Here is a 21,973-nt window from a genome sequence, read left to right on the forward strand (position 1 = left end):
GGAGATCGTAAAGGGAATAGCATGATGTATACTTTGTGATTTCCTGAGCTCATCCCAGGGACTCAGATTTGAACCTTTAAGAATAGAGGGGCTAGGTCGGGCGCGGTGGCTTATGCCTGTAATCCCAGCACTTTGGGAGACCAAGGCGGGTGGATCACGAGGTCAGAAGATCGAGACCATCCTGGCTAACATGGTGAAATCTCGTCTCTACTAAAAATATAAAAAATTAGCTGGGCGTGGTGGTGGGCGCCTGTAGTCCCAGCTACTCTGGAGGCTGAGGCAAGAGAATGGCGTGAACCCAGGAGGTGGAGCTTGCAGTGAGCTGAGATCACGCCACTGCACTCCAGCCTGGGCAACAGAGCGAGACTCCGTCTCAAAAAAAAAAAAAAAAAAAAAAAAAAGAAAGGAAGAAAAAGAATAGAGGGACTATCCGAAGGAGCTAAAGTGACTTTTCTTTTCAAAAGAGAAATAACCCACTGCCATCTTCTTTCCCCTCATGTGACTCCACTTTCCCCTTTCAATAAGCCCCAAACCCAACATTGACTCTTTTAGCCAAAGAAGCCAAAGCTTCTGGGGCTTTGGTGAAGAGTGAGAAGGGGAGTAAGTTCCTTACTTCACTGAAATAAGGTGGAGAGTTTTAGGGTATGTGGCATTTTTCTGGCCAAATGGGGCTTTGTAACTTAGGAACTACAGAAAATAAACTTTGATTCTCAAAGAATGCACCTTGGGGCATAGATATTTTAAGAGTGGCTAAAAGAGGAAGATCATGAGCTCATTTAAGATATCTTCAGGGATGACGTCTGCAAGATGGTGGAATAGGAAGTTGTAGCCTCCACTTTTCCCCACAGAAAATTCAACTAGCAACTATCCAAAGACCAGAACAACTTTTTGAAAACCCCAATGCAAGGAACAAGCCTGAGACACCAATGTGGTCCACAGAACTGAATGGAATTAAATTAGAAGGGTAAGGAGAACAGCCTCATTACAGCTGTGCTACCTCTCCCTCAGTTCAGCCCAGTGCTAAACAGAGAGGATTTCCATGGGCCCACAGTTTCTACTGGGAGAAAAGATACTCAGAGACAGTTATCCAGCTTTCCTAGCATTCCAGGAAGCCCACTCCAATCTCGCCTCACCTCACAGGGAAAACTGGGGATAATGGCATGGTTAGACCACCTTGGGTCACATAGAAACAAAGAAAGGAGGCAGAGATTGTAGTGACCAGCATGCAGATCTTGGTGGTACTTCTATGTTCTGCCAGCTGTAGCACCCTATTAGAAATATCAGCCAACTTCAGAGCCCACCTGCAAAGCTGAGCTGGTTGCCTTCAGAAGCATGGTGGGAGTTCAACCTAACTTGAGTCCCTAGATAGCTAGTCTCCATGCCAACCTCAGAGCCCACTACCAACCTATACCAAGTAGGGAGATGCTGGCCTTTGCCTATTTTGGACAAAGCATAGGGGTTAGACTTGCTTGACATGGGAAGACAAGCAGCAGTTCCACTCAGCCGAAAGCCCACTCCTTGGTTCCACCCTGACAGGGAGGCAATCCTCAATTGTGCATTTCTAAGGAGCATAGACTCTGGTCCTGCTCATCTCAACCAGTGACTCCACCTAACCTCAGAGCCCAGTCAGCATCCCTGCCCAACTAGAAATCCCAAATAGTTGAATTACCCAGTAGGGACTACATCTTGTGACCTGATTAGAAGCCATTGCCATCACCCACCCAATAGCTCCACCTCATAGCAGAGCCCACCCAGTGGTTTTGCCAGATAGTAGAGCCCATCCAAAAGCTCCATTCCACATCAGAGCAAAGGCAGCCAACTCCTACGACAAGCTCTACCTGCTTAGGGTCATCACTAGTTGGTCCTTCAAAAACCACAGACTGAATAGTGAAGGTCTATCTCTAGATGTTCTTTAGGAACATCTGCAAAGGCCAGAACAGGGGACTGTCTTCTTAAATGCAAAAATGCAGGTACACAAGATCATGAGGAGCCAGGGAATTGTGACACCTCCAAAATAAACTAATAACATTCCACTAATAGACCCTAAAGAAATGGAGATCTATGAATTAACTGACAAGGAATTCAGAATAATCCTCTTAAAGTTGTTCAGTGAACTACAAAAACGTATGGATAGAAAATTAAATACAATTTGGAAAACAATACATAAACAAAGTGAGAAGTGTAACAAAGAAATAGAAACAATAAAAAATAAATAGAAATCTAGAGATAAAGAATATAATGACTGAACTGAAAAATTTGATAGAAAGCTTCACAAGCAGACTTGATCAAGCAGAAAAAAGAATTAGTGAACTGGAAGACAAAACATTTGACATTATCCAGTCAGAGGAGCAGTAAGACGAAAGAATGAAAAAAAAAATAAATCTTGTGGGAATTATGGGACACCATCAAGAGACCAAACCTTTGCATAATGTAGTTCCAAAAGGAGAAGAAAGAGGAAAAGGGCCAGGAAGCATATTTAAAGAAATAATTGTTGAAAACTTTCCTTATTTAGGGATAGATGCCAACATTTAGGTTCAGGAAGCTTAGAAGTCTACAGTCAAATTCAACCAAAAGAGGAGTTCACCAAAACACATATTAATAATAATCAAACTATCATGATTCAAAGACAAAGAAAAATTCTAAGAGCATCAAGAGATAAGAAATACACCACATAAAAAGTAGTGCCAATATGATCATCAGCAGATTTCTCAGCAGAAATTCTGCAGGCCACAAGAGAAATAATACAATTCACCCTTGAATAGCATGGGTTTAAACTGAGCAGGTCCACTTATACAAGAATTTTTTCAGTAAAAGTTACCCAGTTTGCCTGCCTCTCCTGCTCCACTTTTCACTTCCACCTCTGCCACTCCTGAGACAGCAAGACCCACCTTCTCTCTTCCTCCTACTCTTCATACTACTCAACAGGAAGACAAAAAGGATGAAGACCTTTATGGTGATCCACTTCCACTTAATAAATAGTAAATACATTTTTTCCTCTTTATGATTTTCTTAATGACATTTTCTTTTCTCTACCTTACTTTTTTGTAAGAATACAGTATATAATACACATAACATATTAAATATGTGTTAAGTGACTATGTTATTGTTAAGTTGATAGTAAGCTGACATCAAAAACAAAATGTGAGATGGAGGAGTAAAAGTATAGAGTTGTTGTATGCAATCAAACTTAAGCTGTCATCAGCTTGAAATAGGCTAAGTATAAGGTGATCTATGTAAGCTTCATGGTAATCACAAAGCAAAAATCTTAGTATTTTTATTTTTATTTTTATTTTTTAGACAGAGTCTTGCTCTGTCACCCAGGCTGGAGTGCAGAGGCATGATCTTGGCTCACTGCAACCTCCACTTCCTGGGTTCAAGCCATCCTCCTGTCTTAGCCTCCTGAGTAGCTGGGATTACAGGTGACCACCATAATGCCTGACTAATGTTTGTATTTTTAGTAGAGATGGGGTTTCGCCATGTTGGCCAAGCTGGTCTTGAACTCCTGACCTCAGGTGATCCACCTGCCTTGTTATCCCAAAGTGCTGGAATTACAGGCAGGAGCCACAGTGCCTGGCCTGCAAAAATCTTTAGAAGTACGAAACAAAAATAGAAAGGATTTAAAGCATACCACTACAGAAAACCATCAAACCACAAAGAGAGCAAGAAAGGAAGAAACAAAAACACTTTCAGAAATTCCCACAAAAATTGAGATTTGAGTAAAAGTAGGAGATACTGGAGTAGGTGGTAGATACAAGGGAAATGTGGCTTTCACCATTAACATTGCCCCATTTGTACCCAGACGCTAATCAAGTTAGGAGAAATATACATTAGATTGAAATAACTTTTGCAGATGGGCTTATATTTAGTTCTGTCATACTGTGGTTAGCAGGATAATCTGTTTACATTTTAAAGTATGTTTTCCCTCCATCTCTGTCCTTTGTGTATTCTATAAATTTGCATCCCTATGGTGGGTGTCCTGAAAACTTTTTGTGCCATGACCCCCTTTGGTAATCTGCTAAAATCCCTCCTCAAAAAATTTTAAAATGCATAACAAAAATCAAAGAAAGACAGTAATATTAAAATGCTTTTAATATTATCAAAATATTTCAAATGTGCCATTATAAAATATATACTCTTTCATTAATGCTTTAAATAAAATCTAGTGGTGGGGGCCACTAATCACCACATTTTTAAAGTTGTTGTGGATATAATGCTATTTTCTTGTTTCTGCAATAACTTTAACATGACATAAACTTACTATGATTCCTATTGGTATCAAAATCACAGGTATTGCTAACACTGCTGTGGTTGTTGCCCACTTTCATGATTAAATATTAAATTTTAGTTAAAGAATAGTGAAAATAAAGATGTATTTTTACAATTCAAGTTTATAGACATCCCGAATTCTATCCACAGACTCCTTAAGAACCCCTGCTAGGATCTCATCCTTTCTCCATCTGAAGCAGAAATAAAGGCAGCATGAGACTAAAATTCTCAGATGTATAGTTTCAGAGACATCTGGTCTACCTCATCCCAACTTCTCCCTTTATGCCCCAGAAGATTCTAGGTGAAGAATAATGTTCCCAGGAGGAAGAGATAGAACTACCCCATTTTGAGGAGATTGGAAGAACATTCAAGGTGATTCCAAGAGACCCAGAGAGCTGACTCAGCTCCAGCCTTGCCCCAGAGACATGGCTGTGGAGGACACCCCGCTCCCTGGCTGCAGCATCCATGGTCAGCTTGTTGCCCACTGAACATACAGTTTGGAGACATACTCTCTGGTCAATCCCCCAACAATCTCCCTTGCACCCCTTCCCCCTTCTCCCATGGAGAACCCACTAGAAGAGAGAGTTCGAACATTTTCTAGGATAATCATGACATGAAGAGAGAGTCCAAACCTTTGACTAAAATTGCACTAAACACAATGTACATATCTAACTACTTTATATCCATGATAAGGTAAACCAGTTGCCAAGCAAAAGATGCCTGAGTTGAAAAGAAGTTGAGAGAATAAACTAATGACAATAGTTGTAGAAAATATCTGAAAATTAATCACAAATCCTAGCCCCCAAATGTGTTCTAAGTTATTTAGAGGATTTACAGTAGCTGCATACATTTGCATATTCAGATACTTCCTTCCATCTTCAGCAATATTTCAGGATTCTAGACAGTTAAGCAAGTTTTGGAAGTATTTCACAGACTCAGTAGGTGCTAAGGTTATAGGCACAGGCCTGAAGAAAACTTGCTATATCAACAAGATGGGAGACTGGTTCTAAGGCAGCTCCCTGGGCCATATTAGGCCAAGCAGTGAATGAATGGTAGATGACACCATTTCAATGGCTTGATCTCTAGGTCACTCCTGTGATTCCAGAGAAGCCACCACTACCTGAAGGGGGAACTGTGGTTCTACCAACAAAGTTGAAAATAGTTCATATTTTAAAGCCAAAAGTCAATAAGGACAATGAAAAATATAGTTTTAAATTCATATTAGTCCCCTTAGTTATCTCTGTCCAACTTCTGAGAGGTTCTAAGAGACAACTGGAAGATAGGGGAAGATGAGCATGATGGGCAGCAGGGTGGGGCCTCTTCTCTGGGCCTGGCCTCTTTGAGTCCCTGTGGTAACAAGGGACTGTTATAATAATAGACATTTGAGATCCTAGGCAAGAGGGAAGGACAGAAGATTCTGGCCCAACTCTTCCATTTTATGAAAACGATGACTCAGAGACTTGAAATGATTTGCTCAAAACAAGACAGTTTTAGATAAATAATCTAAGACTAAAATGCAGATTTTCTGACATCCGGCCATTGTGCTCTCCCAACATTAAAGAAAAATATTCTAAGTAAACGACAGAATATTTATATCTCAGCTTTCATTGCCCTGTCTTTGCAGCGGAAGGGGAAGTGGTTGGCGTGGTTTCTCAATGATGAATCTTGAAGATGAAACCTGGAATGAGTAGGACAAGATGCCAAAAGAACCCAAACCTACTAGGTAGACACTGAAAACGGGATCATTTAAAATCCACTCACATCCCATTCCATGCTTTCTTCTGTTATAGGCACTAGAAAGATAAAACTTACCTTCCCAGACTTTTTTGCAGCTAGCAGAGACAATGGTAGATCTGATGAATGAAACAATCCCAAGTTGGCTGGGCTTCTTCTGCTGCTTCTTTCTTCTTGACTAGAATTTGAGCTTGATGCTGGAGGTACATCAGTCATCCTCAGGGCAGTAGAGCAGGAAGAAAAAATGCTCAGTTCCCAGATAGCATCCTTGAACTACTGTTCCAGCCCTAATCTACTTCAACCCAGACTTCTTCTCACATGAGGCAGATAAATCTCTTCCTTGAGTAAGTCCATGTTCATCAGATTGTAAGGTTCTTGTATTGAACATAGCCTTACCTTATATTTTAGTCTGAATCAAAAGTGGAATCAAGAATGGCAAAGTCAGGCCAAACTGAATTTCAGCCAGGTAAAGTTCACAGACTAATATGAGCTCAAAGCTGACATGAGTCAGCAAAGAGGTCCAGTTGAAGAAGATAAGAAAACTGTCTAAACGAAATACTGAGTTTGTATGCAGTGCTTTTAAAGGCCCAGAATGTGATCTGTGGATGTGCCTTAGTTATCTCATTGACATTAGCCAGGACAGCGTGATTCAAGGAAGTTACTACTGTACTTCAGGCCACCTATCTTAGTTCCCCTCTTAAAAATAAAATAAAATGGCCATCAGAGGGTGTGAGAAATGGAATACTGAGGCAAAAACATGCCAGCAAACCAGACTGCTCTAAGAATATTGGCACAGTGGAGGCTGGAGGCAGCTTGGGGTCTGCTGGAAGAAGCGAGGATGAGAGGCAGGCATCAGAAGCAAACTTAGAAGAGGCTGGAGAGCTTTGGTTTCTTGGCCTTATTTCATCCCACTGGAGACAATTATCTTACCAGATAGTATTGCTGTAGCATTGAAATTTAAACAATAATATTCTCATGAGTAGGCTGCAGTGTGTTTCCCAGTCAGAGAGGATGCTCTCAAGATTTGGTTAAAATAGCCAAAGGTGCACACAGTGTGTGCTTGATTTAATTATTCCTGAAGGCCCTCTCATGTAGGTGGTTTTAAATTATCTCCCCCAGGACCTAATGAGAGAGGGAGAAAAAAAAAAAAAGAATTTGAATTGAAAAAGAGTATTTGGGCCACGCGCGGTGGCTCATGCCTGTAATCCCAGCACTTTGGGAGGCTGAGGCAGGTGGATCCCCTGAGGTCAGGAGTTCAAGACCAGCCTGGCCAACATCGCAAAACCCCGTCTTACTAAAAGTACAAAAATTAGCCAGGCATGGTGGTGGGCGCCTGGAATCCCAGCTACTCAGGAGGCTGAGGGAGAATAGCTTGAACCCAGGAGGTGGAGGTTGCAGTGAGCCAAGATTATGCCACTGCACTCCAGCCTGGGTGACAAAAACGAGACTCCATCTAAAAAAAAAAAAAAAAGAAAAAGAAAAAGAGTCTTTGAACAATGAAATAAATGCTTCCAAATGCAAAATCAGGTACTACCTTAATTTATCAAATAAGAATAAGGGTAATAAAATAAGGAGTTATCAATATTATGCTTTGACATTCCCGGAAAGCTAACAAATTGACCCATCCTTAAGATGCCCAAATACATTTATAAAAACCTAAGTCATTACTTCCCAATAGTACAAAACCATTAGACATGTAAGGGGAAATTTTGTATTTCAAAATTTGAACTTTGAAGTTGTTTCAAAATGAAAATAACTTTCTTGAACTAACACTGAAACAATTAGAGCCATGGGTATTTGGAAAAGAACTTCTGGTGAGCTCATCAGCATTTTACAGGTCTATAAAAAGAGGCTTCCCATAACCCCTATAGTTTAATAGAAACAGTAGGAATTCTCCATCCTCATTATGGGTCCATTTATTAACTTGCTCTTCCTTGTGGCTCAGTTAGTTTTTACTTCCCTTGGGTTCTAGTCCTATTATGGAGCAAAGATATTTTGAACACAGACATGGATTTTTCACTTTGGAAAGGGGATCCCTTCCATCTTGTCCTGAGGCCAGATGGGGGGACCAAGAATTTAAGCAGACACATTCATCTTCCTATCTTCAGGTACCTCTGAAGAAACTCCTGTACCTCTTCTATAAAAGCACACACCCTCTTTGGGGAAACACACTCTCTCACACATTATTGATACATCTCTTGGGAGGAAAATTTGGTAAGAACTATCAACATTCAAATGCATGCTTTCTTTGACCAAGAAACTACTTTTCCAGGAATTCAACAGCCACATGCACACATCAGCAAAGACAGATGTCCAAACTTACTTCTTGCTACAATTTTTGTAACAGGTGGAGACTAGGGAAAAAATTAAATGTCCATCAAAAAAATGACAGAGTAAATATATTTGAGAAGAATTTTCACTCCTGGCTATGATAGAGTAGCTTCTAACAGACTGTCCCTCCCGTCAAAACAACCAGAAAAGCTGGACAATACACATAAAACATTGTTGAAGGCATTTGAATAGCTGCTAAGGCAAGCAAGGGAAAGGGGACAGCCCAAGTAGGCAGATATCCTGGAAGTTGCTTTCCCTTCTGGGGCACTTGCTGATTCTTGGTGCTGGCAAGAGAGTGCAAGTCAAGGTGGAGGGTAGCTGTTAAGGAACAGAGAAACCTGCAGAACTTTGGGGGCTCTCAGAGAACTGAGGAGACAAAAGTTGGAGTTGGGGGCCCTGTGCAATGGCTCACACCTGTAATCCCAGCACTTTGGAAGGCCGTGGTGGACAGATCATCTGAGGTCAGAAGTTTGAGTCCAGCCTGGTCAACATGGTGAAACTCCATCTCTACTAAAAATACAAAAATTAGCCAGACATGGTGCCCACGCATGGTGGCTGAGTAGCCCAGCTACTTAGGAGGCTGAGGCACAAGAATTACTTGAACCTGGGAGGCAGAAGTTGCAGTGAGCTGAGATCCCACCACTGCACTCCAGCCTGGGTGACAGAGCAAGACCTTGTCTCAAAAATAAATAAATAAATAAATAAATAAATAAATAAATAAATAAATAAATAAAATAAACAATAAAAAATAATAAAATAAATTGGAGTTGAGGGTTGCCAAGGATTTCAGTGGTTAAGATCATGGTGAAAGAGGAGATGTAGGGAAATAGCCCAAAAACAACTGGTTTCTCTCTGAATGAATTGGAAAATTTTTTGCTGCAGAGGGCAAGAGATGAAGAAGCTAAGTGGAAAGCCACTGAGAAGCAGAGCAGAGGGTTTTTGGAAGACTGACTCACAGTCCTTAGAAAATAAAAAAAAATGGAGTCCAGGACCCACCAAAGATGTCCATTTGCTGACCTAGTAAATGCTCCAGATCTCAGTTCTGAGGTCCATGTGTTATCCAGAAGGAGATGGTAAAAGTATAATTTGTATTTGACTGTATTTAGTATAGAATCTCTAGAGTAAAAACCAAAACAATAGGAAAATAATATAGTAACAGCGGAAGAAGAGAATAACATAATTTTAAAATTGAATTATCCAAAGGCAAGAAATTTTTTAAAATGAACATAAAACATGATGACAAATAAAAAACAAATGGAACATGATAATTATAAAACCAAATTCGTTAGTAATTACATTAAATGTAAATGAACTAACTGGCTAAATTTAAAGACAAAGATGGTCACTCTGGGTGGGGGTGAAATAGTTGTAGGCTGCTTATGAGAGACACATTTTTAACATAAGGACACAAAAAAGGTTGAAAGTGAAAGAACAGGGAAATAGATTCCATGAGTAGAAGACACTGTGAGTGCCCTGCTTCATCTCTTGGCATTCGTCATGACTTTCCAGATGTCTTTCAGTGGCATGTAGCACTAGGTCTTGCCTGAGGGCATTCTTTAACCCTGGAAGCAGGCTGGTGGTGAATTTAAGCTGGTGGGAAATGGGACAGAGTAGAAATTCTGAGGAGCTGATGCCCTCAGGAGCAACCCTTGTCTAGTGAGGATGTGAGCTGGCAGTAAATACTCCAGCTTGCTCACCTTCAGGTGGAGAAATTCCAAGGTGTTCCCATGCAGTCTCCCAGCAAAGCCACTGAGGAGCCAAGAGGAGACTTCCAAGAGGGGAAGTGAGCCCTAGCTGTAAACAGCCAACAGCTCACTAGTGCATCCATTGTCAGCTTCCTTCCCTTCCGTGTCTACTCAGGCAACCTTACCAGTGTTCCTAGGTTTACTTCTCACCTTCTGTACTCAAAGTCTGCTTCTCAGGGACACTGGCTTAATACACCATGCAAACATTAGCCCCCCCAAAGCTAGTATAATTACATCAATATACAAAGTAGAATCTAAGGCAAGAAGCATCACTAGAGAGTAAGAGGGGTGTTTCTTATATATAAAACGGCCAATCCACCAACAAGATACAATAACTTAAAAATACATGCACTTGATATTATGGCTTTAAAATATATAAAGTGAAAATTGACAGAAACCAAAAAAAGGAAATAAATCTATTACCAAAATCAAATCTATTACCAAAAAACAAATCTATTACCAAAATGCAAGGTGATAACACAGTTCTCTGAATAACTAATAGAATAGGTAGGTGGAAAAAAAGGAAATATGTATGTAGATTTGAACAACACAATTAACAATTGAATATGCATTCTTCCTAAGTGCACGCAGACCATTTACTAACACTGATATTATGTTGGGCCATAAAGCAAATTTCAGAAAATCTCAAAGGATTGAAATCATACACAGTATGTTTTATGACCATAGTACAATTAAACTTAAAAAATACTATTTGGAAATTGTACAATAATAATGGCAGTGCATGGGTTAAATGAGAAATTCCAATAAAAACTAGAAAATATTTTCGCTTGAATAATAATGAAAATTCAATATATTAAAACTCATGAGATGTAGCTAAATTTGCATTTGGGGGTGATTTATGCAATAAATGCATATTTTAGAAAAAAGAAATGTTGAAATGGCAATTGGCTAAGTATAATCAAGAAGTTAGAACAACAGCAAATTAAACCCAAAGTAGATGAAAGTCAATTTAAAAAATGAGAAGAAATTAATAAATAGAAAATGAGCATGAAATAGGGAAAAATAAAAAGCTAAAAGTTTATCCTTTGAAAAGATTAGTAAGATTAATGGACAGCTACAAGGACAGATAAAAACAGAGACAAGTCACAAATTATCAATGTCAGAATGAAAAGGTGTACATCACTACAGACAACAGAGATATTAAAAAATAAGAGTGAGGCTGGGTGCAGTGGCTTACACCTGTAATCCCAGCAGTTCGGGAGGCTGAGTCAGGAGGATTGCTTGAGCTCAGGAGTTTGAGACCAGCCTAGGCAACATGGTGAAACCTTGTCTCTACTAAGAAAAAAAAAAAAAAAAACTTAGCTGGATGTAGTGGTGTGTATCTGTGGTCCTAGCTACTCAGGAGGCTGAAGTGGGAGGATCGCTTGAGCCTAGCAGGTGGAGGTTACAGTGAGCTAAAATCACACCATTGCACTCCAGCCTGGGCAACAGAGCCAGACCCCATCTCAAAAAAAAAAAAAAAAACAGATATGAGGAACTACTTTATGCCAATAAATTTGGAAATGTAGGGAAAATGAGAAAATTCCTATAAAAATAGACCTTACCAAAATTGACAAACAGAAATACGAAACTTAAATAGTTCTATATCTAGTAAAGTAATTGAACGTATAAATTAACACTTTTCCACAAAAAATTTCCTCAGCCCAGATGACTTCACTAGTGGATTCTTCCTAAAATTCTTCAAGATAAAAGAAAAAGAAGAAACACTTCCCAACATATTTTATGATGCCAGCAAAACTTTGATATTAAATTCTGAAAAGAACATTACTCAAAAGGAAATTACTTGCCAAGCTCTCTCATGAAATATATATAAGAATTTTTGTAAAAACAGTAAATTAAATCCTGTGATATATAAAATGGTTACTACATCGTGACTAAGTGACTTTTAGTCCAGGAATGCGAGAGTGTTAAAATTTGAGAACGAATCAACGTAATCAGACACATTAACAAGGTGAAATAGAAAAACCACATGATTATGTCAGTAGATGCAAAAAAGTATTTGATGAGAGTCAAAATCTATTTTTTTTCTTGTCAGATGGGTAATGTGCTGATGATGTAACAAACTTTAAGGAAGGCATATCTCACACATGAGCGTGAAAAAACCCAATCATCACACTTACAAACTACAAAAGGATCTCAAAATCTATTTGTGATAAAATGTCTTAGCAAATTAGAAATAGAAAAGAATTTTATTAATCTGGAAAAAAGTATATACAAAAAATATAAAATATGGTTAAAATAAAATTTAGAAGTTCTAAGCAAATGGAGAAAAATACTACCTACACCTTCTATATAGATATCCAATTGAATCAGTACCATTTATTTTAAAAGACCATTCTTCCCCCCTCTATACAGAAACTAAGTCATAATTGAGTCATTAGATATGAATGGATATGTTTTTATATTTCCTAGTATCAACTCTGCACTGTCTTAATGACTGGAACTTTATAATAAGCCACAATGTCCTGTATGTAGAGTCTCCAGTTTTTTTCTTCTTAAGGTTATCTTGGATATTATGCCCTTTGCATTTTCACACAAATGTGAGAAACGAATTGTTGACTTCTTAGAAAAACTTTGCTGGGTCTTAACTGGGATTGTATTGAATCTATAATCAATTTGGGTAGAATCTTTTCAATGTCAGTCCTTTCAATCCATAAATATGTTATTTCCCTTCCTTTGTTTAGAATCTTAAAATTTTCCCTTTCATTTGCTTAGAATTTTAAATTTTTCTCTTAATGATATTTCATAATTTTTGTGTAAGTTATGGCATAAGGATGGGTAGAGAGTCTTTTTTTTTTTTTTTACTGTAAGACTTTTGTACTGGTTACTTTGTTTCTATTGAGCATGCTGCTTTTTCACTAAAAAAAAAAAAGGAAAAAATATTAAGTTTGAAACACAAAACGAAACCCACACAAACTACACCCTGGGAAGTGACCCTGTTGGTTGCCTAACAGCCATCCTCCCATTCTTCTTTGCTGTCACAGCAAATTTTTTTATTTGGGTTTACTCTCAGGGAAAAGCAAATCCATCTTGCAATCCAGGGTAAATTCTGACTGATTGAATTCAACTCCTGAGCTCCCATTCCCATTGCTAGAGAACGGGTTAGGCAGAAGCTCAAAACCAGGAAGGCAGGAGGAAGTGGGAGCTAAGAGCATCCACACAAAGTTCTAGCATTTGTTAAAAAAAAAAAAAAGAAAGAAAAATCACACAGAAAAATGCACATTTTGGTACAAAAATACAGTTAGAAGGAGTTAGTTCTAGTATTCAATAGTAGGGAGGGAAACTATAGTTAATAATTTATTGTATACATCAAAATGGCTAGAGGAGAAGCTTTGTAATGTTTCCAACACAGGGAAAAGATACATATTTGAGGTGATGGATATCTGAAGTACTCAGATTTTACCACTGTTCATCATATACAGGTATCAGAATATCACACATACCCCCTAAGTATGTAAAACTATTATATATCAATAAAAAATGCAAACCTTTCTTCAAATGGATGTTGGTGTATCTGAATGAAACCAAAGCTGGGGACAAACATTTAACAACCCCTCAGGGAGCTAATCTCCAAGTCAAAGCCATCATGTCTTGATGACAGAGCAGAACGGTGGAGAGAACCTCTGCCTTGATGACATAATTGAACAGCTGAATTAACTTATAACAGAGATGCCCTATCTTTGGGCTTCTTATTTGGGGAGACAGTTTTCCATTACTTGCCGCCAAGCCATCCTAACTGTCATGACACTCTTGCTGTGAAGTGAGCAGCCTTGGAGAAGGAAGATTTAGTGGGAGTTCTTGGACTCTGCATGCTCCTTCATGCTTCCAGATGCCAGCTGTCCTTCCAACAGCACACATCTCTGAGAATCATGCCCTAGATCTCCATAGGACCATTTTCCTCGCTCCAGCAGTTAAAGTGGGCCCCTGAAAGCAGTTGGATGAGGCGTAATGCCTTATAGAGGCCTGTGTTTTCCATCTCTGAGACTCAAGAGAACCAATCTAACAGTGTTTCTCCCATGGTCCTGCTGTTGCTCGGAGATCTTAGTTTCAGGCCTCGGAATCTATTCTAGTTACTTGAAGCAGAAAGAGACTTATTAAAGGGTAGAGTCTGTAGGGGTGGGTGGCAAAGACGCAGGCTCTAGGTTGAGCTTCCAGAAACAACTCCGGAAACCTCACTGCAGAACCAGGCTGCCAAGAACACTGCCGCTCCTGCCTCAGTCAGGAAGTTGCAGAATCTGGAACCTTCCACCAGGGCCACCTGCTCCAGGCCACACTGCCTCTGCCTCAGTTTGGGCTAGGAAGAGGATGCCCACAGCCTGTTTCTCTCCTTATATAACTTATGCCCTTCGTAACTCAGAGTTGTTAAAAACTTTTTTAAAATGCTTAATGGTATAAATGGAGAAAATGGGACATTTCATTAGTGTTATAATTCAATTTTGAATCAAAGTCCCAAGCAACTGGATCTGATCTAAATCATATCTGAATTCTATCAGCAAATGAGGTTGGGAAAGTGGTGGTGTCTGGAGTCCTAGGAGTCTAGAAGTGCCTTTCAGTGGGTCTTGAAGGACATCCAGTCCACACTCTCCACACCAGTCTTTAAAATTGAAATGATACATCCTCATATCAAGCCTGAAACTTCTTCAAATCCAACTTACCAGAAGAGAAGACAAGACTCTTCAATAAGCCTACAGGCTCATCAGTGCTGTCACCTGAGGTGCAGGTTGCTTTCTGCAGCATTTGTGTCATCTACACAACAGGAAGTCAATATCTTCCTAGAAAGTCTGCCTTCAATGTGGCAAAATGAACTTGTCATTCCCACAGTCACCTTTAATGTTTTATTCTCAGTAAAATAAGGATTCTTCTATTGTATGGGTTGGTAAAACTAGAAGTATGGGACACGTGCTAATAATAATAGAAGACAAACTGTAACTGGTCAGAATAACACAAAGCCAGTCTCATCTCAGCACTATGGGTGCTATTTCAGAATCTTCAGTTTGTGCCTGCACATGCAAAGTGGAGGAGAGAATTGCAGCTATTATCAGAATATATTCAAATCTAAAAAATATATTTTTTCCTGCAATTATATGGATGTTTCAGGTAGATTTTGAGGTAATTTTGGTCCAAATAATCTTTGTAATTGCCACAGTTCTCTTGTACATGTACTTCTAGATACTGCTAAAAATACATAGCAATAGAAGCAGTGTTATCAATAAACTCTTTCAATTTCACAGATTCTCTGTGAAAGAAAATGCAGGATCAAGAAATTTCCCTGCTTCCAAATCTAACAAAATGCATAAAATAAGTAAGAATAGCCAAAGGGGGAAAGATGTTAGGAGCTTTCAAATTAAGGAAGAAGTACCACCATACTATAAGGGTTTAAAAATATCTACAGACAGCAGATTCTGGAAATTGACCGTAGCTTATGCTGGACTCCTCCGGAAGCAGTACAGTGGACAAAAATCTGAAGAAACAATGACTGAAAAAGCTCACTGATACCCTTTAATTTGGAAGGAAGCAGGCTAATTGAGAAATGGTAGTTGGAGAAGAAGCTCAAAAGAAAAGATTCAGAATCCCTTTAAGTGATTGCCTCTCTATACCAAGAGAGAAAAGTAGATATTCATTTATCAGAGATAGGAAGAACTACTAAGAATTGGGATTGGTTTGTTTCACTAGCTGGGAAAATAAAACACAATATGCAAGCAGAAAAGGGACAATAGGGACGAACTCTTTATTCATCCATTTTTTTTTCATAACCTTCCTACCTAAATCCCAGAAAGAAGCAGGAGAAGCAAGCAGGGAGAGGAGAGGGGAAAAGAATCACTGAAGGCAGCTTGTCTTTGAGAGAAGAAAAGGCTCTGAGTTCACCCAGGACCTGATGAACAACCTGAAAGCCACGGGCTTTTATCACAGAATCAGAAATAGCTCCAACTCTGCAGAGTAAACCTCAGTACAGGATTTTTAACTAACTTATAGAAAAAGCAGTGTCGAAATCCCCCAACTGTGATACCCATAGCCCTGGTTCCACACTTTCTCCCAGACTTCACTCAGTCCCATCCTTGCCACCATCTCAGACAACAGAAAAGCAAATGTAACACAACTCTTGAATACAGAAGGCCTAAGTTAGCCCTTATCTTTGAGATAAGGAGTCAACGAGAGCCCAGATAGCATGGTAAGAAAACAAAGGAAAATCTACTATAAATAGAAAGGTAAAAGTAAGGCCCAAGTAGAGATTTCTTTTATTAAAAAATAAATAACTTGAAAATAAAAAAATAACAAAAGTAATAGAGGAAAAAAGTCAAGAATGAGAAGTAGCTTGTTAATTAGGAATGCTTTTGGCTCCAAGTAGCAGAAAACCCAGCTACCAGTGGCTTAAACCATATGGTCATTTATTACTTAATGAGACATCTAAAGGCTGTAAGTCCCAAGACTGGCTTGGCATCTCACTGATTTTGTCAGGCACCTAGGCCCTTTTGGTCTTTGCATTCTGCCAGCCACAGTGTACTTTCAATATTGCTCTCATGACTGTAGGATGGCTACCACAGCTCTCAGCATCACCTCCAAAGTATCATCTCCAAAGCAGAAAGAGAGGGAATTATGGCAAAGGACATGCCTCTTCCTTGACAGAAAGAAAACCCTTTTTTAGAGTCCCCCAGCTGACTTAACCTAATATTTCATTGGCCAGAAACAGGTCAGAAATTCAACCGTTAACCAATCATTAGCAAAGGTGAGAGAGTTACCATAATTCAGCCCCTTGGCTGGAAATACAGATATCAGGGACCTATTAACAAAGAAGAAGGCAGGGGCTGGGAGCAGTGGCCCACGCCTCTAATCCCAGCACTTTGGGAGGCTGAGGTGAGTGAATCACTTGAGGTCAGGAGTTCGAGACCAGCCTGGCCAACATGGCGAAACCCCATCTCTACTAAAAATACAAAAATTAGCTTGGCTTGGTGGTGGGTGCCTGTAATCCCAGCTACTCAGGAGGCTGAGGTTGCAGTGGGCCAAGCCAAGCACTCCAGCCTGGGTGACACAGCGAGACTCCATCACAAAAAAAAAAAAAAAAAAAAAGAAGGCAGGAGAAGCGACTAGGTGGGCAGACAAAATAACAACCATTGTTCGGTTCAAATTACTCAAATTTGTTAAGAGAAACACTAGCGGAAATAAAACAGATTATATACTTTCCAATTGCCAAAATAAGAAATAAAAAAAAGATCACAGATCTTAAAGGATAGAAAACAAAGGAAACACAAGACTACTAAAATAAACCAAAAAAGTAACATAAAGGAAGGTGATGAAATATTAAAAGTATATTCAGCCTAATGAAAAATTACTAGAAAATCAAAAACACTGAAAAAAGAAAGAAAGAAAGAGACCAATGATGGCAAATGTGGAACAAGCCTTAACTACGTATTAACCCACATTACTAAAGCAGTGTGGTTCTTATACCTGTATAGGCAGAAAGACCAACGGAATAAAACAGAAAATCCAGAAATCAACACACATAGGAATTTATTACTGTATATGCTAAAGGCGGCATCCCAAAGCTGGCGGTCGTGGGTGAGGGGGCGGGGGAATTATAGACTTCTCAGTAAACAGCATTGAGAAAACTAATTGTCAATATAGAGAAAAAAACCTTGAAACTTTAATTTATTCACTATATCAGGACAAAAGCTACGTTTTTATGTAAAAAAAGAAAAAGCAAAACAAAAAGGAAAGAAAAAATAAATTAATCATAAAATAAAAGCACAAGAAAAAAAAAAACATGAACAAATTTACTTTTTACCATAGAGCAAGGATTGGCAAATCTTTTTCATAAAGTGTCAAATGTTGTAAATACTTTAGATTTGTAAGCTACCACCCTCTCCAAACATCTTTCCCCACAACATAAACTGCTCTAGAATATATAGTATTAAATAAGAAATGTTGTCTACTATTCTATTTAGTGGTTATACATAGTTCCACCCAAAATATAGTATTTTCTCATCATTCACTGTTATACTGAAAACTTTATGTAGTGTGTATTTACCACCATTTTAAAGTCACAACTACTCAGTTATGCCGTTGTGGTGCAAAAGCAACCATAACAAATGAGTGTGGCTGTGTTCCAATAAAACTTTATTTGCAAAAACAGGTGAGAGACTAGATTTGGTCCTTAGCCCTATTTCACAGACCTCTGCTGTAGAGTGTGGAAGGCCTTTTAAATAAACTAAGAGCTAAAATTCAGAAGCACACAAGAAAAGATTGATACATTCAACTTTAAATTTAAAACTTCTGTAAGGCAAAAACAACACATTAAAGTCAAAAGATGAGTGACAAACCACAAATTAGTTTTTGCAACTCATTTCACAAAAGAAGAAACTCTCAAATATATAAAATCTTCTAGAAGCTCTCACCTTCAGTGCCACTTTTTCTTTCTTCCTGATCATTCCATCCAGCAGACCAATATGCTCCCTTTTTCCCCATCTTAAAAGACATTTCTCTTGATGTCATTTCCCTCACCAGTTACTGCCCCTTTTACTACTTTCCTTTGCAGTGAAACTCCCTGAATTGTCTCCAATATCTTCTTTTTCTCTCTTAAATCCTATCTAGTGTCTTTCCTTCTGCCACTTCTACTGAAACTGCTTTTTGTCAAGACTCCCACATTGCTCAAGCCGGTGGTCAATTTTAGCCAGTGGTCAATTTGACTTTACTTTTCAGCAGTTGATGCAGAAGTCCATTTCCTCTTTCTTGAAAAAACATTTGCACATGACATCTAGAATACCAAATCTCAAACTCTTTTGGTTTTCCTCTACCTCTCTGGTCCCTCATTCTCAGGCTACTTTGCTCTTCCTTTCTCACCTTCTGGCCTCTCAATGTCAGCTCACTGCAAGACTTGATGTGGACACCTTCTTGCCTCTTTCTCCACTCAATTCCTTGGTCATCTTATCTATTGTCATATCTTTAAATGTCATCAAAAGGCAAACAACTCCTGAATTTATTTATCAAGGCCTGATCTCACTCCTTAACTCCAGATTTGGAGATACAACTGACATCTCAGGGTCTAATAGACATCCAAATCTTGACATATCTTCAACTGAGCTCCCAATGCCAACCCCAAACCTACTCCCTGTTACTGTTGGGGGCAACCCCATACTTTCAGTTACTCTGGCCAAAAAATCTGCAGTCATCCTTGGCTGTCTTCCTTCTTTCTCACAGATTATTTGCTCTATTTTTAACATATATCTGGAATCCAACCATTTTTCACCCCTTCCCTGCTACCACTCTGCTCATGCCCTCCTTAGAGTCATCATGTCAGGTTTTCTGTGGTCTCGGATGCTCTGCCCCCGTGATTTGCGTGGCTCACTCCTTCACCTTCTTCAAGTCTTTGTGACTTTCTGCATAGCACTCATCACTGTCTCACAAACCAAGTCATTTACTTGTAAAATTGTGTCTCTTATTCATTTTCTGTTTAAACTGTAAGCCTTGTATGTATTTTGTTTTTAAATATATCCCAAATGCTTGGAACAGTTCCTGGCCACAGTAAGCTCTCAAAATATTTATTAAAAGAATGAATAAAATTGATTTTAAAAAGATCAACAACCCAGAAAAAAGGTCAAAGAATATTTTAGATATTCTTATATAATATCTAATATTATATATAATAGAAAATTTTTAAGGAAAGGTAAAAAATGGCTTGTAAATACATGAAAAGATGCTTAATCTCATTTATAATAAAAGAAATGTAATTTAAGATAATTCAAAATACCTCTTCCCCTTCCCCCTTTTTTAATTGTCACATTATAAGAATCCAAAATGTGACTATATGTGGTTCAGGCTGTGGGAAAATGACATCTTTTAGATTGTTAGTGAGAGTGGGACTTTTTAAATCCCCTATGTACAGCAATTTGGCAACTATGTATAAGATTTACAAATGTCTGTTGAACCCACAATCCCACTTTGTTTTTTTTCTTTCCCACTCACCTGGGCTGGAGTGAAAAGGAGTGAAGACGGCTCACTGCAAGCTCAACCTCTCAGACTGAAGCGATCCTCCCACTTCAGCCCCCCAACTAGCTAAGCCTACAGGCTCGTGCCACCACACCCAGCTAGCTTTTTTGTATTTTTAGTAGAGGCAGGGTTTTGCCATGTTCGCTAGCTCAGATTGGTCTTGAACTCCTGAGCTCAAGTGATCTGCCTGCCTCAGCCTCTCAAAGTGCCTGGGATTACAGGTGTGAGCCATGGTGTCCAGCCTCACAATCCCACGTTTGAGAAACTTTCCTACAAATATACATATAAAAAATGACAAATTTATAAAGTTATTAGTTTCGTTACGTTTTAATAACAAAAGACTGGAAACAAAGTGCACATTATAGAGGACTGGTAAAAAAATTACAATACATCTATACAATGAAATTTTTTCTGTCGAAAATTGTTTTTAACAAAGATTGAAGATGGCTTTTAGTTCTAAAATGGAAAGATGTCCAAGAGAGAATATTAAATAATAAAATCAAGATGCCAAGCAGTGTGTATAGCATGTTGCATTTGTTTATAAGAAAAGGAGAAATATAAGAACATATATTAATTTTTGCTTTTATTTGCATAAAGAAAGTTGGGAAACATATGCAAAAAGTTAATAAAAATGATTACCCCAGTGGGAGGTAGGAAAATGAGATAAATGTTGACAGGGATAGGAGCAAGACTTTCAAGTTGCATCTTTAAAAAAAAATTACGGCCGGGTGCGGTGGCTCACGCCTGTAATCCCAGCACTTTGGGAGGCTGAGGCGGGCGGATCACGAGGTCAGTAGATCGAGACCATCCTGGCTAACATGGTGAAACCCCATCTCTACTAAAAATACAAAAAATTAGCCGGGCATGGTGGCAGGCGCCTGTAGTCCCAGCTACTCGGGAAACTGAGGCAGGAGAATGGTGTGAACCCAGGAGGCGGAGCTTGCAGTGAACCGAGATGGCGCCACGGTGCCACTGCACTCCAGCCTGGGCGAAAGAGCTAGACTCTGTCTCAAAAAAAAAAAAAAAAATTCAAATGATAATTCAAAAAATTAATCAAAAGAAATTATGTGTATGCATTAACAAATTTTAAAATAATTTTTTAAACTACATAATATAAATGTACATAGCATAAATTCTCTAAGAGAAAATAATCCTCAGATTATTTCTTAAAATTAAACTATTAGATTATCATCCTTTATCATTCTTAAATTTAGTTTAATTTTTATATAATGGATAACGTGGTCTTCTAGGTTACTAGAAAATATAAATGTTGTGTCCTTATCATCCCTTGCTTCTCTAACATCTAAACTAATTGTGCCATTTCTCTGTCCTATTTTCATAATTTCAGTTCCACTAAGAAAGTTCCCATCTCAAGAGGATGCTGTTTGATTTCTTGTTATTCACCATCCGTGTGATCCATGGGGGGAAGAAAAGGTATTAAAGAAGAGAAGCATATTAATGTTATTACTCCTTTCTAACTTTACAGAGTGGCTACTCTTTTAAATTCTTTTGAGACAAACACCTGAAAGAAAATGTTGATATGTGAGATAAGCAATAAGCAGTGTTTGAATACATGCATATGTTAAAGGACACCATTAAAATTAAAAATAACTCTAGAAAGGAAACAAAGCATGCAAAATTGCCTTATGTGGCTTGCTAGAAGTAAAATAAATGTTGAAAAACTAGAGTTTGTTTCTTAAAAAGCAAGCAGAGCTAAAGGTACGTCTTGCAATCTATAGTTTACTAGTGACAAACCTCGTATATTGATCTCTATGTCTGACTTCTGACTATTGATCAGTTTCCATGGTGCCATGGTGGCGGCAGGAGTGGTGGGTAGTTGTTATTTGTTGGACCCCTAAAACCCTAACAAACTTCAGCTACAAGTTATATATATA

The 21,973-nt window shown here is 38.6% G+C and overlaps 1 long non-coding RNA gene and 1 other non-coding gene across 15 annotated transcripts in view; both read right to left on the reverse strand.

Moving 5' to 3' along the window:
- The window catches only part of LOC107986777 (uncharacterized), a 303,857-nt gene that overhangs the window by 108,201 nt on the left and 173,683 nt on the right, over positions 1 to 21,973 (reverse strand). For 3 of the 14 annotated variants that reach the window (XR_007060254.1, XR_007060255.1, XR_001745127.2), the window contains one exon: positions 6,079 to 6,217. The exons of the other annotated variants lie outside the window; for them this stretch is intronic. This is a non-coding gene — a long non-coding RNA (uncharacterized LOC107986777). The remainder of the gene's footprint in view (positions 1 to 6,078; positions 6,218 to 21,973) is intronic. 14 annotated transcript variants of the gene reach the window in all.
- On the reverse strand, positions 12,127 to 12,232 carry LOC124901831 (small nucleolar RNA U13). The gene has a single exon (XR_007060667.1). It is a non-coding gene; the product is annotated as a small nucleolar RNA U13 (small nucleolar RNA).

Source organism: Homo sapiens, chromosome 7, assembly GCF_000001405.40.
Source record: "Homo sapiens chromosome 7, GRCh38.p14 Primary Assembly".
Taxonomy (NCBI): domain Eukaryota; kingdom Metazoa; phylum Chordata; class Mammalia; order Primates; family Hominidae; genus Homo; species Homo sapiens.